This window comes from Homo sapiens, chromosome 11 (genome assembly GCF_000001405.40).
Source record: "Homo sapiens chromosome 11, GRCh38.p14 Primary Assembly".
Lineage (NCBI taxonomy): Eukaryota > Metazoa > Chordata > Mammalia > Primates > Hominidae > Homo > Homo sapiens.
The window spans coordinates 57,551,029-57,569,473 of record NC_000011.10 but is presented as its reverse complement, the minus strand read 5'-3'; the positions used below and the strand labels follow the sequence as shown (position 1 = coordinate 57,569,473).

At 48.8% G+C, this 18,445-nt stretch overlaps 1 protein-coding gene across 2 annotated transcripts, besides 2 other annotated features; it reads left to right on the top strand.

Moving 5' to 3' along the window:
• Positions 1,439–1,798: a silencer, noted in NCBI's record as "silent region_3351". NCBI's record gives its function as "represses an Ori minimal core promoter by ATAC-STARR-seq in GM12878 lymphoblastoid cells {active_cell/tissue: GM12878}" and the evidence as "EXISTENCE:reporter gene assay evidence [ECO:0000049][PMID:35858748]".
• UBE2L6 (ubiquitin conjugating enzyme E2 L6) lies at positions 1,539–17,812 on the top strand. Of its 2 annotated transcripts, none has more exons than NM_198183.3 (4): positions 1,539–1,625; positions 9,042–9,137; positions 14,851–15,037; positions 16,965–17,812. In NM_198183.3, exons 3-4 carry the CDS (start codon positions 14,926–14,928, stop codon positions 17,114–17,116), a joined length of 264 nt encoding a protein of 87 aa, NP_937826.1. In that variant the 5' UTR covers positions 1,539–1,625; positions 9,042–9,137; positions 14,851–14,925; the 3' UTR covers positions 17,117–17,812. The 2 variants fall into 2 exon arrangements, with proteins under 2 accessions (NP_937826.1, NP_004214.1); NM_004223.5 differs by lacking the exon at positions 1,539–1,625 and adding an exon at positions 1,802–1,889.
• Positions 3,052–3,401: an enhancer, noted in NCBI's record as "active region_4724". NCBI's record gives its function as "activates an Ori minimal core promoter by ATAC-STARR-seq in GM12878 lymphoblastoid cells {active_cell/tissue: GM12878}" and the evidence as "EXISTENCE:reporter gene assay evidence [ECO:0000049][PMID:35858748]".
• Positions 17,813–18,445: the final 633 nt, after the last annotated feature.

Sequence of the window (18,445 nt, the reverse complement as noted above, 5' to 3'; positions counted from 1 at the left end):
CTTCCGGGAAACCTCTGCCCCTCCCTGAAGAGGGATAAAGTGACCCTCCTCATACTCCCAGAGTACCAGGTGATTCTCTATAGCATTATCATTAAAAATCAGGGGCTGCATTCTCTCCCTCTGTCCCAGTAGTCTGGGAACTAACTCCTCAGGAGCAGGGACTCCCCTTTCTCATCCTGGTGTTTCCTATTGGCAATGCCTGCCACTCAGTAGTAGGCGCTTGTTGACTGAGACTATTGATCACAGGCAGGTTCGAATGTCTTTGTTCCCTCATCTCTACCCCTGTTAAGGGATTACGGAGTGTCCTATTCATTTCGGGCATATAGAAAATGCTGTTAAAGTTCATTGAATTGAATGAAACAATTAATCGTTCTGCAAAATCTGAGCAGAGAAGTCATTTGGTTTCAAAATACTTGGATAAAAACATTACGGTGGCTCACGCCTGTAATTCCAACACTTTGGGAGGCCGAGGCGGGTGGATTACTTGAAACCAGGAGCTCGAGACCCTGACTCTACTAAAAATACAAAAATGAGCCGGTCGTGGTGGCGCGCGCCTGTAAATCTCAGCTACTCAGGAGGCTGAGGCACGAGAACAGCTTGAACCGGGAGGCGGAGGTTGCAGTGAGCCGATATCGCCACTGAACTCCAGTCAGGGCGACAGTGAAACTCTGTCAGAAAAACAAGAAACAAAAAAACTGTGAGGTACTGAGATCACAAACTGGTGCTCAAAATATACTGATTTCCTTTCTCGTCTGGACTAAACGGGGGTAGGGAAGGGTGAGAAGGAGGGGATCGGCCCTCCCAACAAGTCTCATCTTCCCCAGATGCTGCTTGGTGCTCAGGGGCTGCAAGTACTCTGTCCTTGCACAGAGGGTTGGGGACTCCAGCTGTGCATGGGGGCACACATTAGGCCCACAGCTTGTAATGGACCAGTAGTAAAGTAAGGGAGGGGAAGCAGACTCTCTCTTGGAAAGGAGGCTCCTGAGTCCTTCTTGGGGCTTCCCCCACCAACTGTTTCCCAAACCAGCATACAGTAGGCACTTAGTAAATACTAAACCTAGTAAAGGACTGAATGATGGTAGACCGAACCCCCAAAGCAAAAGAGAAAGGGTCCAACAGCGCCTCCTTGCGGTGCTCTGCCCCAAGCCACGGGGAGAAACGTTGCAGCCCGCGCCGAACGCCGGGCAGCACAAAGGATCCCCGACTGCCGGGGAGCGGTGCTCGGAGGGCACAGGTCTACGCCATCCCCCACGCAGTTTCGGAGATGGAGCGCTGGGCCCATGGAGGGAAGGCGGCAGGCTCGGCGGCTCCGGCAGCTTGCTGGGGCAGGGGCTCAAGGCGGCAGTCCGATAGTGGAGGCCGCTGAGAACTGTCACGGAGCTGCGTCTGTACAGCGAGCATCCCTTATTTATTCAGGGCGAGTGTGTATTTGGGGCGGCGTGCAGGGGGCTGACAAAGACCGGAGAGCTCCCGGTGCGGCCGCCGGCGGAGCGAAGACTGGAACCCGTATGAGCGCCCCCCAGCGCCCCTGAGCGCTCGCCGCCGGTGCACGGCGCACCCCGCGGGAGGCAGGGATCAGCAAAGCCGTGCGCCCCGAGGCCCGCCCCCGTCTCCGCACAAAGACCGTGAGTCCCGGGTCCGAGCCTTCCGCGCGGGGATCGGGCGGTTGTCCGGCGGGTCGTCCTTCGACGGCCTCCTGGCCTCGCCGGAGCGGGTGCGGGGAGGCCCACGCAGCGACGGCTGGAGGAGGGGTGGGCGGGGCTGCCGGGGGTGGGGTCCCCGGGGCGGGGCGGGGCGCGCTGTGTCGCGGGTCGGAGCTCGGTCCTGCTGGAGGCCACGGGTGCCACACACTCGGTCCCGACATGATGGCGAGCATGCGAGTGGTGAAGGTAACCGCGTATAGGATGACCCCTTTCTCTTGGCTCCCCTCGCCTCCCGCATTCCCTCCTCCCTCCATCCCCTCCGCGGCTCTCCGAGCACATTTATTTATTTGTCTGGGCACCAGGGCTGGCTGAATCCCTGTCCTCCCCGCCCTCTACTCAGAGGAGGACTGGCCTGCAAGAGTGGCCAGAGCTGGGGTTTTGGGGGTTTGGAGGCCTCTGCTTGAGCCGTTCGCGTGGTGAAGATGAGCCGGCTCCCCCAAAACTGGTTTCAATTTCGCTTTTCCTGCCTGAAACTTGTGATAACAACTGGGTGCATCTCCAGTGCAGGAAAAGTCCTTGGCATCTTGGTGCCAGGCATTCTGCTACTGCTGGTGGTGGGTTATGAACACAGATGACCAGGATGAAGTCCTTGCCTTGGAATAAGCCCATAGCCCATCCCATAATTTGATGCCTGTATTACTAGAGTCCTGAGAAACACGGAATGCTGATTAGAATTTGGGACAAAGTTCCCTGAGTATTCTCTGGAGGAAAAGATGCGGAGGTGGACCTGGAAGGCCTCCTGGAGTAGGTGGCTTGCGTTCGTGAGTTCTACAAGTGTTGAATGCCTACATGTGCTGGCCCTGTTCTAGGAGGGGGGGGGGGGCGGGCAGAGATGAACACAAATCCGGCCCTTGTTGAATTTTGTTCCTATCAGGGACACAATTTGAAATAAGATCTGGAAGGATGGGGAGGGGGCAGTTTCCTCCAGAAGGTGGGAAAACCCAGGGTGTTTGGAGATGGATTAGGGAGGAAGGTGATCCTGGTGAAGTGAGTCTGGCACCCCAAGTCTTTCAGAAGTGCCCCTTCCAGTCTGCAGGGTGGAGGGGCAGGCTCTAGGAAGAGGGTGCCTGCTACCCTCAGCCTCTGAGAAGAAAATGGCCTCAGACTGGGATGCCCAGAGCAGGCTTGGCCTAGATACTAAATCTGGAGGTTGGCAGCAAAATGAGGCAGAGGGTCTTTCCAGCCAAGTGGAAGAGAGATGGGAGCCAGAATTTATTGCATTGGAACCATTACATGCCAAACGGTTTACATGGTTATTTCATCTAATTCGCACAGCAGTTCTGTGAGATAAGTAATATATACCCGCATTTTACAAATGAGGAAATTGAGGCACAGAGGAAATAACTTGCTTGTCCAGAGTCTTTCAGTAAGGAGCAATGGGACTGGAATATGAAACCAGGTCCACAGGCCTCCAGCCTGCAGGCTCTCTTAATGGCCTTTCTACTTTCATTTTCTGTTCCTCTGAGTCAGGTGATTTCCTAGTAGGCAGTAGGAAAGAACTGTGTGTTTTAGGTTGGGTTTCAACTTCCTCAGGCTTTGGGAAAGTTCTGGCAGAACTCATCCTAAACAGATAAAGTTCAAGTGTCTTTATCTTTCCAAGACCTGGAAAATGTCTATTCCAGATCTTCTCCGGTCAGCCCTGGGCTTTGTTCTTGCCAAAGAGTCACAGATGATAGAGAAACTCTTACAAGTGCAGATGCTTCTAGTTTGGGGTAAAGATAAATGAAGGGCCATTGACCCTGGGTGGAAGGCACCAGAAGCAGCTTATTGGTTGAACAGAAATAGAACATAGGCTGAGGGATAGGAGGGGGGCATGGGATGTGTTTATATTATATGTTGGGGGTGGGGGTAAGGCAGAGAAAGTTCAAATGGTCCACAGTGTTAAAGGACCCCTCCCCACTTGTGGACTGGGTTTGGAGAGCTTCAGTTTCTCAACCTCATCACTACTGACATTTTGGGTCACATAACTGTTATGTATCCATTGTATGTTTTTAGATTTGAGGTTACTACAAGGTTTGTAAATAATATCTTATAACCTGTTATTTTAAACTGATGACAAGTTAACACTGATTACATAAACAAACAAGCAAAATGAAAACTAATGAAGGCCAGGCGTGGTGTCCCACTCCTGTAATATCAGCACTTTGGGAGGCTGAGGTTCGCGGACTGCTTGAGCCTAGGAGTTCGAGACCAGCCTGGGTAACACAGCCAAACCCCATCTCTACAAAAAGTACCAAAATTAGCCGGGCATGGTAGCACACTGCTGTAGTCCTAGCTACTTGGGAGGCTGAGGTAGCAAGATCACCTGAGCCCAGGAGGTTGAGGCTGCAGTGAGCTGTGATTGTGCCACTGGACTCCAATCTGGGTGACAGAGTGAGACATTGTCTCAAAAAAAAAAAAAAAAAAAAAAAAAACAACTAATACAAACTGTATACTTTAACTTCGTCTTTCCGCTTACTAACTTTTTGTTGTTTCTATTTCTTTCCTTCTTTCTTTCTCTCTCCCTTTCTTTCCTTCCTTCCTTCCTTAAGATGGAGTTTCACTCTTGTTGCCCAGGCTGGAGTGCAATGGTGCCATCTCAGCTCACCGCAACCTCCGCCTCCCAGGCTCAAGTGATTCTCCTGCCTCAGCCTCCTGAGTAGCTGGGATTACAGGCAGGCACCATCACGCCTGGCTAATTTTGTATTTTTAGTAGAGACGGGGTTTCTCCATGTTGGTCAGGCTAGTCTCGAACTCCTGACCTCAGGTGATCCACCCACCTCAGCCTCCCAAAGTGCTGGGATTACATGAGCCACTGTGCCCGGCCATTTCTATTTCTTTCTTATTGTACTGTCTACCTCTTGAAAAATTGTTGTAGTTATTATATTTAATTGGTCATCTTTTCCTCTTTCTACTTAAGATATGAGTAGTGTATATACCATAAATACAGTGTTATACTAATCTGTGTTTTTCTTTCTTTTTTTTTTTGAGACGGAGTTTCGCTCTTGTTGCCCAGGCTGGAGTGCAATGGCACGATCTCAGCTCACTGCAACCTCCGCCTCGTGGGTTCAAGTGATTCTCTTACCTCAGCCTCCCGAGTAGCTGGGGTTACAGGCACCCGCCACCACGCCCAGCTAATTTTTGTATTTTTAGTAGAGATGTGGTTTCACCATGTTAGCCAGGCTGGTCTCGAACTCCTGACCTCAGGTGATCCACCGGCTTTGGCCTCCCACAGTGCTGGGATTACAGGCGTGAGCCACCATGCCCAGCCCAGATGATTTTTTATTGCTCATTAAAATTTTTTTAAATTTCTGATTGAAGAACTCCTTTTTAGCATTTCTTGTAGGACAGGTCTGGTGTCGATGGTATCTCTCAGCTTTTGTTTGTCTGGGAAAGTCTTTATTTCTCCTTCATGTTTGAAGGATATTTTCACTGGATATACTATTCTAGGGTAAAAGATTTTTTCCCTCAGCCGTATTTCATTTAAATATGTCATGCCACTCTCTCTTGGCCTGTAAGATTTCCACTGAAAAGTCGCTGCTGGACATATTGGAGCTCCATTGTATGTTATGTGTTTATTTTCTCTTGCTGCTGTTAGGACCCTTTCTTTAATCCCTGACATCTGGGAGATTGATTATTAAATGCCTTGAGGTAGTCTTCTTTGGGTTAAGTCTGCTTGGTGTTCTATAACCTTCTCATGTTTGGATATTGATATCTTTCTCTAGATTTGGGAAATTCTCTGCTACTATCCGTTTGAATAAACTTTCTAGCCCTGTCTCTCTCCCTACCTCCTATTTAAGGCCAGTAACTCTTAGATTTGCCCTTTTGAGGCCATTGTCTAGATCCTGTAGGCATACTTCATTCTTTGTTTATTCTTTTTTTTTATTTTTGAGACGGAGTCTCGCTCTGTTGCCCAGGATGGAGTGCAGTGGCACAATCTTGGCTCACTGCAAGCTCTGCCTCCTGGGTTCATACCATTCTCCTGCCTCAACCTCCTGAGTAGCTGGGACTACAGGCGCCCACCACCACGCCCGGCTAATTTTTTTTTTTTTTTTTGTATTTTTAGTAGAGATGAGGTTTCACCGTGTTAGCCAGGATGGTCTCGATCTCCTGATCTCGTGATCCACCTGCCTCGGCCTCCCAAAGTCTTTGTTTATTCTTTTATTATTTTGCTTCATCTGACTGTATTTTCAAATACCCTGTCTTTAAACACTCTAGTTCTTCTGCTTGATCAATTCTGCTGTTAAAAGACTGATGCGTTTCAGTATGTTAATTGCATTTTTTTCTTTCTTTCTTTTTTTTTTTTTTTTGAGACAGAGTTCCACTCTTGTTGCCCAGGCTGGAGTGCAATGGCATGCTCTCGGCTCACTGCAACCTCTGCCTCTCCAATTCTCCTGCCTGAGCCTCCCAAGTAGCTGGGATTACAGGCCTGCACCACCATGCCCAGCTAATTTTTGTATTTTTAGTAGAAACAGGGCCTCACCACGTTGGCCAGGCTGGTCTTGCACTCCTAACCTCAGGTGATCTGACTGCCTCGGCCTCCCAAAGTGCTGGGATTACAGGCATGAGCCACTGCACCCGGCCTCAATTGCATTTTTCGACTCCGGAATTTCTCCTTGATTCTTTTTAATTATTTCAATTTATTTGTTAAATTTGTTGATGGGATTCTGAATTCCTTCTCTGTGGAGGAAATATTGAATTTCTTTGAGTTTCCTCAAAACAGCTATTTTGATTTCTCTGTCTGAAAGGTCACATATCTCTGTTTCTCTGGAATTGGCCCTGTGTGCCTTATTTAGTTCGTTTGGTGAGGCTGTGTTTTCCTGGATCGTCTTGAAGCTTGTGGATGTTTGTTGGTGTCTGGGCACTAAGGAGTTAGGTATTTATTATAGTCTTTGTAGTCTGGGCTTGTTTGTACTCATCCTTCTTGGGAAGGCTTTCGAGGTATTGGAAGGGGCTTGGCTGTTGTGATCTAAGTTTTGGTCACTGCAGCCATGTCTACATAAGGGGGCACTCCAAGCCTAGTAACACTGTAGTTCTTGCAGACTTTTAGAGGTTACTACCTTTGTGGTTTTGGATAACATCAGGAAGAATTCTCTGGATTACCAGGTAGAGACTCTCATTTTCTTCCCTTACTTTCTCCCAAACAAATGGAGTCTTACTCTCCGTGCTGAGCTCCCTGGAGCTGGGTGAGGTGTGACACAAGCATCCCCATGGTCACCAGAATTGGGACTGCACTGGGTCAGGCCTGAAGCCAGCACAAGACTGGGTTTTGCTCAAGGCCCGCTGTAATCACTACCTGGCTATGCCCTACGTTCGCTCAAGGCCCTAGGGCTCTGCAATCAGCAGGTGGTGAAGCCAGCCAGGCTTGTGTTCTTCCCCTTAGGGTGGTTAGTTCACTGCTGGGCCCCAGAGAGGTCCACAGTTGCTGTCCATGGGCCAGGGCCTGGAGTCGGAAACCTTAGAAATCTCTCTAGTGCTCTGTGCTACTGCAGCTAAGCTGGCACTGAAACCACAGGACACAGTCCTTCCCACTCTTCCCTCCCTTTTCCCCAGATATAGGAGTCTCTCCCCTTGTCCACCACCACCACGGGTCTATGAGGAGTACTGCCAGGGTACTACTGCTGATGTTCGCCTAAGGCCCAAAGGCCCTTCAGTCAGCTTGTGGTGAATGTGACCAGGCCTGAGACTCACCCTGCAGGGCAGCGGTCTCCCCTCTTGTTCGGCCAGATAATTCTTTGTTAGGATGTTTATCAGCATCTCTGGCCTCTATCCACTCTCCCGATTTATGACAACGGAACAATGTTCCCAGATATTACCGAATGTCCCTGGCTGGGTAAAATCGCCCCTGGTTGAGAACCACTGGTTTGTACCAATTCATTGTTCCAGAGAAATGTGACCTGCCCTTGAGTGTCTTTATCTTCCCCAACAAGAAAAGGCCTGTAGTCCCACAAGATGGACTCTAAAAGAGGGGCAGCATTCCTTTGTCAAATACATTTGAGAAGTACTGCATGCTGTGGGCCCACAGCTTGGTCAATCACCATACACAATAGCATATTAAAGGCTGTGGGAAGTTCTCCAGTGAAGAAACCTCTTTAGCCGAGATTTACCAAATGTACTTGACCTTGGAACCCTTTTCCTGTACTACCTATTAACCTTCTGCAGGACATACTGTACTTATGTTTCCCATCTGGGCCCTCTGCCCTGGTGCTTCTCCCCTTCTCTGCTTTATGGATTCCTGTTCATTCTGCATGGCCCAGCTCACAGAGTGCACCCTCTGTGAAACCTTCCTTCTCCCCTCTCATCTCCTTCCTTACCGTATATCCATACACATTCACATAATCACATCCATGTTTCGTCCATTACTCTATTGAAATTCTTGAGGACTGGGTCCTGTCTCAGTTAAATGTCAGTAGAAGATGCTCAGTAATGGCTGTTGGGAGAATTCAGAAGGGATATTCAGGTGTTTGGGCCACAGTTTTGGGAAGATGAGTCACTCCTTGCCCCCTTGTTTCCCCACTTGGTGTGTAGAGTTCTTCTCTGCTATGGTCTTCCGGAGTCATTTCCCTTCTCCAGCCCTGATCTGGCAGAGTTTGAAGCGGTGGGGTCATGTCTTTGCTGCAGATGCTCAGTCGATGCTTACGGAAGGAAGAAAGGAAGAGAGGAAGGGAATTAGAACCTAGTGACTTTCTAGGAAGAAGGCTAGAGAGCAGAGGTTAAGTACCCTGCTTTCAGGAGAAAAGCCTCCTAAGAGCACTTACTCCCAAGTTTTAATATCTGGGAGAAGTGATCTATTTTTCCCTGCACCTAGTACCTAGGTGTACCAGAGTTGTGGTGAGGCCACAGTCAGAAAATTCACTTAAAGCACCAGCACCGGCTGGGCGCGGTAGCTCACGTCTGTAATCCCAGCACTTTGGGAGGCTGAGGCGGGCGGATCACGAGGTCAGGAGATCAAGACCATCCTGGATAACACGGTGAAACCCCGTCTCTACTAAAAATACAAAAAATTAGCGGGGCGTGGTGGCGGGCGTCTGTAGTCCCAGCTACTCGGGAGGCTGAGGCAGGAGAATGGCGTGAACCCAGGAGGCGGAGCTTGCAGGGAGCCGAGATTGCGCCACTGCATTCCAGCCTGGGCAACAGAGCGAGACTCTGTCTCAAAAAAAAAAAAAAAGAAAAAAGAAAAAGCACCAGCACCATGCCTGATACATACTAAGTGCTCAGTAAATGTAGGCTCTGACTTTACCGGCTTCTGCCCCTAAGATGGCCAGTTTTGAACTTGGGGCAGCTTGCTGCTGGGGCAGGGGGAGGGGGCTGAAATAAGGAGGACTAGGCCAACTGCCCACTCACTTGTGTCCCCTGCAGGAGCTGGAGGATCTTCAGAAGAAGCCTCCCCCATACCTGCGGAACCTGTCCAGCGATGATGCCAATGTCCTGGTGTGGCACGCTCTCCTCCTACCCGTGAGTATCCATGGGGACCATGGCTTTGGATTGGGGCCAAATTAGGCCAGGGACATGGGCAGGGAGGGTTAGGACTAGGCAAGAATTTTCCCTGCTTGAGATCCTTTTACTGGAGGTTATCATTGCTGGAGGGGGCTTCTCTCTGAATTGATTGCTTCTGAGATCCAGATACTTCTGAGGTTCACCTTCTGATAAAGATGCCAAAGGACTTTTGACTTAGTAGGAGACCCCTTCCTTAAACCGGTAGCCACCAAGCCCACCACAGAACTTCAGGAGACAAACAGCATCAAAAAGAAGAAGAAATAAAGATTTCTTGGACCTTTGTCAAGGGGTAGGGATAAACTTCCAGGCTCTCACAGTTGGGAGAATTTGCTCCCGCAAACCTAAATTGTATTTTGTTTTTCTGTAGTCTTATTTCAGAAAATTGTTACATATGAAAACACAAATAGCTCATTTCTACTGTTCTTATTTTTCTCTGTTTATTATTTGGTATTTTCTTGATAAAGTCTCTCTGAAAGCAGTATTCCAAAATAGTTTTCAGAGTGCAAGATCTCTCTTTTTTTCATCCGATTATTAGTGACTAAAGATACTTTGAGAAATTAATCTACACTTTTCATTACTTGGAAATAAAATTTAAGACATTGAACTTTTTGTTAGTCAAAGCTCTTTGGAATATCAAAGGAACAATTCATCTTATCATTTAGGATTTGGACTTGTTTTTTTTTTTGAGACAGAGTCTTACTGTGTCACCCAGGCTGGAGTGCAGTGATGCGATGTTCGTTTCCTGCAACCTCCACTCTGGGGTTCAAGCGATTCTCCTGCCTCAGCCTCCTGAGTAGCTGTGACTACAGGCACGTGCCACTATGCCTGGCTAATTTTTGTGTTTTTAGTGGAGACAGGATTTTGCTATGTTGGCCAGGCTGGTCTCAAACTCCTGGCCTCAAGTGATCTGCCCACCTCGGCCTCCTAAAGTGCTGGGATTACAGGTGGAGCCACCACACCCGGCAGGATTTACTTTTTATTGACAATGCAGTGGCCTAGGTTGTGTCGTCTTCTCTTTAAACTGACCTATAGTCCAGAAAAGTAGAGAAAGGCCTGAGTCAGGTCAACATGGGAACCTCTGTCAAGTCCCTTGGGTTACTGTGTTGAAACGATCCACTTACCTGGCTTAGAGTGAGGACACCTGTTCTAGGCCTCAGGTGCCGGGAGAAGATGCTCAAAGGAGCTCCAGGGACTGATTATATCTCCAAGGAGACCAACTTTGAGATGATGAAAGCAGGGGTGATAGGAAAACCTAGGAAAGGTCTCGTTTGGCAGAGTACTATGAAATCAGAGGACCTCAATAGTTGGCAAGACCAAGGTGGTTAAGTGCGCCCCAGGAACTGGCCACAGACCTTCCAGCCATATAGGAGTCCTGAAGAAACATGATACTTGGGAGGAATCCCAGAGCTGGAGGACCAAAGCTTGATGTAAGTCATCAGCTAAGGGGGCCTGAAGGTGCCTGGTGAGGCCATAAAGGAGGGGATGGTTGACTGGCAGAGGAAGGAGAACCAGGAAAGGTCTTTTGGAATAGCACACAAATTCCTCCTCAAAGGCTCAGTCTCAGTTTATGTGTTCACCAAAGTGGCCCCACTTGTCACATCTTGGTCATGGAAGGATTCAGCTCGATGAGTCTTTCGAAGCTAATAGTAAAATTCTCATTCCTTGAGAGTTTCCTGTGGACCAAGTGCTGTTTTAAGCACACGACATATGAGGTCATATTGAATCCTCTCAACCATCCAGTGAGGAAGGTTGTCTTCCTCTTAAAATTGCAGAGATGGAAACCAAGGAGGTTAAGTAACTGGTCTGGGGTCACTCAGAATAAGGTGGCAGGAGTGGAATTCAGCGGACTCCAGGGTCTTCTCTTTTAACCACTCCATGAAAAATGAATAGTTTTCAAAATTTTTTAAAAAGTAGCAGGCCGGGCACGGTGGCTTACACCTGTAATCCCAGCACTTTGAGAGGCTGAGGTGGGTGGATCACTGGAGGTCAGAAGTTTGAGACCAGCCTGGCCAACATGGTGAAACCCTGTCTCTAGTAAAAATACAAAAATTAGCTGGGCATGGTTGTGGGCACCTATAATCCCAGCTACTCAGGAGGCTGAGGCACGAGAATCACTTGAACCCGGGAGTTGGAGGTTGTAGTGAGCTGAGATTGGGCCATCGCACTCCAGCCTGGATGACAAGAGCAAAACTCTGTCTCAAAAAAACAAAACAAAATAAAGTAGCAAAATCCTTTATTTAACCTAGAACTTAGAAGGTAGTGGGACTTTCTCAACTGACTGTAAGATACAGCATGGAATCCTCTGGTCCAGCTTCTCCATTTTACAGACGAGGAAACTGATCCTCAGAGAAAGCTCAGTCATACAGCAAGCCCGAGGCAGAGCTGGGACAGGTCCCCGGAGCTCTCAGCTCCATGACTCTGCTACCTCCTTCCTCTGTTAAGTCCTACGAAGCCCAGAAAGAAGCCCCTTCAGGCAGGACACACTGATACCCCTGTCTTAGTCCATTAGTGTTGCTGTAAAGGAATACCCGAGGCTGAGTAATATATAAAGAAAAGAGGTTAATTTGGCTCAAGCTTCTGCAGGCTGTACAAGAAGCATGGCGCTGGGCATGGTGGCTCACGTCTATAATCCCATGTCTTTGGGAGGCCGAGGAGGGCGGATCACCTGAGGTCAGAAGTTCAAGACCAGCCTGACCAACATGGAGAAACCCTGTCTCTACCAAAAATACAAAATTAGCTGGGTGTGGTGGTGCATGCCTATAATCCCAACTAGTTGGGAGGCTGAGGCAGGAGAATCGCTTGAACCTAGGAGGCAGAGGTTGCGGTGAGCCGAGATCACGCCATTGCACTCCAGCCTGGGCAGCAAAGTGAAACTCCATCTCAAAAAAAAAAAAAAAAAGAAGCATGGCACCAGCATCTCCTTCTGATGAGGCCTCAGGAAGCTTCCACTCATGGTGGAAGGCAAAGGGGAGCCACGTGTACAGATCACATGCAAGAGAAGAAGTGAAAGAGAGAGAGAGCGAGCAGGTGCCAGGATCTTCTAAACAACCAGCTTTTTCAGTAAGTAATAGAGTAAGAACTCTCTTATGACTGTGAGGTTGGCACGGAGCCATTCCACGGAGCCATTCGTGGGAGGTCTGCCCCCAGGACCCATACGCCTCCTGGTAGGCCCCACCTCCAACATTGGGGATCAAATTCTTTTCTTTTCTTTCCTTTTTTTTTTTTTTGGTGACAGAGTCTCACTCTGGAGTGCAGAGCAAGACTCACTGCAACCTCTGCCTCCTGGATTCAAGCAATTCTCATGCCTCAGCCTCCTGAGTAGCTGGGACTACAGGCACATGCTACCACGCCCAGCTACCTTTTTGTATTTTAGTGGAGGCGGGGTTTTATCATGTTGCCCAGGCTGATCTCAAACTCCTGAGCCCAGGCAATCCATCTGCCTCAGCCTCCCAAAGTGCTAGGATTACAGGCGCGAGCCACCGCCACGTAGGTCTTGGGGATCAAATTTCAACCTGAGATTTGAGGAGACAAAACATCCAACCACAGCACCCTCCCATCCTGCTCTGAGGCCTCAGCTGTTGGCCTTCTCTGACTGATAGGCACAGCCTTTTCTCCTTACTGAGACCATAAAAAATGAGATATTTTCTTTATCTTCCTACTTTTTTTTACTCCATCTCTCTTTTTTTTTTTTTTTTTTTTTTTGAGACGGAGTTTTGCTCTTGTTGCCCAGGCTGGAGTGCAAGGGTGTGATCTCTGCTCACCACAACGTCAGCCTCCCAGGTTCAACTTCTGCCTCTCGGTTCTTGCCTCAGCCTCCCGTGTAGCGGATATTACAGGCATGCACCACCACACCCGGCTAATTTTGCATTTTTAACAGAGACAGGGTTTCTCCATGTTGGTCAGGTTTGTCTTGAACTCCCGACCTCAGGGGATCTGCCCACTTTGGACTCCCAAAGTGCTGGGATTACAAACGTGAGCCATCGTGCCCGGCCTAGTTAGATCACATGGCTAGTGAGTGTCAGAGCCGAATCACACCCAGGCAGGGTGGCTCCAAGTGCTGGGATTACAAACGTGAGGCACCGCACCTGACCTAGTTAGATCACATGGCTAGTGAGTGTCAGAGTTGAATCACACCCAGGCAGGGTGGCTCCGGAGTCTGTGTGACCCCCATACTCTGTTGCACAGGCTAATGCATGTCAAACCCTTAGCACAGGACAGCACAGACAGGTGCTCAGAAAAGTGTTCAGGTGGCTCAAAGTCTAGAGGGTCTTCTGCTGGCTCCTTGCAGCTCCCAACCCCTAGGTCACTCCAGCCCCTGAGTTTGTTTGTTTTTAATCATAGTAAAATACACATAACAAAATTTACTATCTTAACCATTTTTAAGTATATAGTTCAGTGTCATTAAATAGGATTAAATAGGATTACAGCTGGGCATGGTGGCTCACGCTCGTAATCCCAGTAATCTGGAGGCCAGAGCAAAAGGATTGCTCAAGTCCAGGAGTTCAAGACCAGCCCTGGCACAGTGAGACCCTATCAAAAAAATTTTTTTAATTAGCCAGATATGGTGGTGGGCCCCTGTAGTACCAGCTACTCAGGAGGCTGAGGTGGGAGGATCACTTGAGCCCAGAAGTTTGAGATTACAGTGAGCAATGATAATGCCAGTGCACTCCAGCCTGGGTGACAGAGCGAGACCCTGCTTCAGTAAACAAACAAACACACATTGTTGCACAACCATCACCACCGTTCATCTCTAGAACTTTTTGTCTACCTGTACTGAAACTCTGTACCCCTTCAGTAACTCCCCATTCCTTTCTTTCCCCAGCACCTGGTGACCACTTTTGTATTTTGTTTCTATGAATTTGACTATTCTGGGTACTGCACATAAGTGGTATCTTGCAAATCTGTCCTTTTTTTGTCTAGCTTATTTCCTGTAGCATAGTGTCTTCAAGGTTCATCCGTGTTGTAGCATATATCAGAATTTCATTCCTTTTAAGGCTAAATAATACTCCATTGTGTGTATATGCCACGTTTTGTTGATTGATCCATTGATAGACACTTGGTTTGCTTTCACCTTTTGGCTGCTAGAAACATTGGTATACAAATACCTGTTTGCTTTCAGTTCTTTGGGTGTCTACCCAGAAGTAGAACTGCTGGATCATATGGTAATTCTGTGTCTAATCTTTTGAGAAATGGCCATACTGTTTTCCATCACAGCTGCACCATTTTATTTTCCTAAGCTCCTGAGTTCTTAGGATTTCCTCATTTTCTCCATTTCCTCACCCCCATTCTAATGTTTTAAGAAAGGATGTTCCATCCTTTTCTTCCATAATCTCAGAAAGTCTTGAAAGCTGAGATGGTCCTTAGAGCTCATCTAGTCCATCTTTATCCACTTTTCAAATGAGGAAACTGAGGCCTAGAGGTGGGAAGTGGCTCACCCGTGGTCACACAGCAAAAGCCAGGATCAGACTTCTCTGCCTCCCAGGCCAGTGCCCTTTGGTGATTTCACATTTTCACTAATCCATGACTCAATTGTCAAATGAATGCAGGTGCTGTGTGTGTCCTGGCTCATGATTCCTCCTGGGAGTGAAGCAGAGGATGCCTAGGACCCTCGGATTGGGGCAGGAAGGGAGGAAAACCAGACTGGAGCTTGACCCCTTTTCTCTCTGCACAGGACCAACCTCCCTACCACCTGAAAGCCTTCAACCTGCGCATCAGCTTCCCGCCGGAGTATCCGTTCAAGCCTCCCATGATCAAATTCACAACCAAGATCTACCACCCCAACGTGGACGAGAACGGACAGATTTGCCTGCCCATCATCAGCAGTGAGAACTGGAAGCCTTGCACCAAGACTTGCCAAGGTGGGGTTGGGCTTTGCTTGGAGGAGGGACTGATACTGGGTAGAGATTACTGGAGAGGGGGTTCACAGCTTATTCTGAGCTTGAAAAGCCCCAAAGAGAGGAGATAAAAATTGTGAGTCTTGGCTGAACTTACTATGAGATAGAAGGGATGCTTCCTGGACAGACTGACCTCCTCCTGCCTCTCTTCTTATACCTGTGCAGTTGTGACAGAGGAACGTTGCTGCGGTTCATGGGAGAGGCAGCTTGGCTGCACAGGGAAGGGCTCGGGAAAAGAAAGCCCGCTGTTCCCTCTGTGGACTTTGGGCAAGTTTTCGTTCCTTTCTGGGACTCGGTGTCCTAAATGACAGTGGAGGGAACTGGCCTCATAATGATAATACCTGTCACTTGACTGAGCACTTTCGGCACTGTGCTAAAAACATCACCTGCCGACTTCATTTTTATTTCCCCAACAAGCCCGTGAGGTAGTGTTGTTTAGTAGACCCGGACATCTGAGGCATGTGAGAGGTGAAGTGGTTGCCTAAGGTCATACAGATGACAAACGGCAGCACTTGGCTGACTCGCAAGCCACATGTGGCTGTTGCAACTGAAGAACTCAATTCTTTTTCTTTTTTAAGACAGAGTCTCGCTCTGTCGCCTAGGCTGGAGTGCAGTGGCGCGATCTTGGCTCACTGCAACCTCCACCTCCCAGGTTCAAGCGATTCTCCGGCCTCAGCTTCTTGAATAGCTGGAATTACAGGCGTATGACACCACACCCAGCTATTTTGTATTTTTAATAGAGAGGGGTTTTGCCATGTTAGCCAGGCTGGTCTCGAACTCCTGACCTCAGGCGATCCGCCTGCCTCCGCCTCCCAGAGTGCTGGGATTACAGGTGTGAGTCACTGCGCCTGGCCAGAACTCAATTCTTAATTGTACTTAATTTTAATCCTTTTTGTTTTTTCTACTGAGACACGGTCTGTCTCTATTGCCCAGGCAGTTAGTTCAGTGGCGCAATCTTGGCTCACTGCAACCTCCACCTCCTGGGCTCAAGCCATCCTCCCACCTCAGCCTCCCGAGTAACTGGGACTACAGGAGCATGCCACTATACCTGGCTAATTTTTGCATGCTTTGTAGATACCAGGTTTTGCCATATTGCCCAGGCTGGTCTCAAACTCGTGAGTTCAAGCCATCCACCCATCTTGGCCTCCCAAAGTGGTGGGATTACAGGCGTGAGCCACCGTGCCCAGCCTGATTTTAATTCATTTAAATTTAGATGCCTGCATGTGGCTAATGGCTACCATATTGAACAACACAGCTCTAGAGCCTGTGGCTGAATCAGTGTGCAATCCTCCACCTGGACCAGCTCAGGAGTTTTTAACTCAGGAAATGAAAGTCCTTAGGTTGGTGGGAGTGGGAGCAGGGAGAGGAGTGGTCCTTGGATGAGCTTCAGGGGGTCTGGGAACTGTCTGTTTTGCATGTGGATGTGCACATCTGTCTCGGGAGATGGGCTGCTGCCTTCACTAGGTTCCCAAAGGCATCTGTGAAAGATGAAGAGCCAGGGGGCAGTGGTGGTTTTCAGTCTTTAGCCTTAGACCTCTTTTGCCCAAGGAAAAGTTTATTTGGACTACCAATATAATGGAGGAAAACAGAGCAGTTTTTGTTGAAATGGGGATAAGACCCAGAAACCTCACTTATCTCAGTGGCCCCTGTGATGAGGAGCTTCTCTGAAGCCATGGAATGTAGTTGTTTGAAAACCACTGATGTAATCAGTCAAGGCCTTGGGTGTCACCAGCCAAGAATGAGCGGGGCGTTTGATCTGGTCGTAGAGTAATCCTAAGCGATGTAACCTTTCCCCCAAGGAGTGAGTGTGGAGTGTCAGGACATTGGGAACGGGCAGCCATGACTCCCTTCCCTCTGCCCTGATATCCTGATCTGGCCTGTCTCTCCCCAGTCCTGGAGGCCCTCAATGTGCTGGTGAATAGACCGAATATCAGGGAGCCCCTGCGGATGGACCTCGCTGACCTGCTGACACAGAATCCGGAGCTGTTCAGAAAGAATGCCGAAGAGTTCACCCTCCGATTCGGAGTGGACCGGCCCTCCTAACTCATGTTCTGACCCTCTGTGCACTGGATCCTCGGCATAGCGGACGGACACACCTCATGGACTGAGGCCAGAGCCCCCTGTGGCCCATTCCCCATTCATTTTTCCCTTCTTAGGTTGTTAGTCATTAGTTTGTGTGTGTGTGTGGTGGAGGGAAGGGAGCTATGAGTGTGTGTGTTGTGTATGGACTCACTCCCAGGTTCACCTGGCCACAGGTGCACCCTTCCCACACCCTTTACATTCCCCAGAGCCAAGGGAGTTTAAGTTTGCAGTTACAGGCCAGTTCTCCAGCTCTCCATCTTAGAGAGACAGGTCACCTTGCAGGCCTGCTTGCAGGAAATGAATCCAGCAGCCAACTCGAATCCCCCTAGGGCTCAGGCACTGAGGGCCTGGGGACAGTGGAGCATATGGGTGGGAGACAGATGGAGGGTACCCTATTTACAACTGAGTCAGCCAAGCCACTGATGGGAATATACAGATTTAGGTGCTAAACCATTTATTTTCCACGGATGAGTCACAATCTGAAGAATCAAACTTCCATCCTGAAAATCTATATGTTTCAAAACCACTTGCCATCCTGTTAGATTGCCAGTTCCTGGGACCAGGCCTCAGACTGTGAAGTATATATCCTCCAGCATTCAGTCCAGGGGGAGCCACGGAAACCATGTTCTTGCTTAAGCCATTAAAGTCAGAGATGAATTCTGGAGTGCAGCTGAGTCTTTGATGAGGGGATGGGGTGGTTTCATCAGGACCATAGAGGACTAGGGATTTAAGCATAAATTTCTGACCTTGCTTCCCTTGAATGTTCCCTAAACATCATAAGGAATGTTGGCCATGGAAAAATAGGCCATCCTTGGACAGAGGAGCTTTCAGAAGGTCCACAGGGGTGACGTCCCCATTTTATTTTATTTATTTATTTATTTATTTATTTATTTATTTATTTAAGACAGAATCTCACTCCGTCGCCCAGGCTAGAGTGCAGCAGTGCAATCTCGGCTCACTGCAACCTCCGCCTCCTGAGTTCAAGCGATTCTCCTGCCTCAGTCTCTTGAGTAACTGGGATTACAGATGCCCGCCACCACGCCTGGCTAATTTTTGTATTTTTAGTAAAGATGGGGTTTCACCACATTGGCCAGGCTGGTCTCGAACTCCTGACCTCAGGTGATCCACCCGCCTCAGCCTCCCAAAGTGCTGGGATTATAGGTGTGAGCCACCATGCCCGGCCAACACCCCCATTTTAAAGATGAGGCAATTGAGGCACAGAGCACTTCAGTGGATTGCTGGGGTCCACTCTGCCAATCCACACCCCTGCAGGTGAGCCAGGGTTATGGC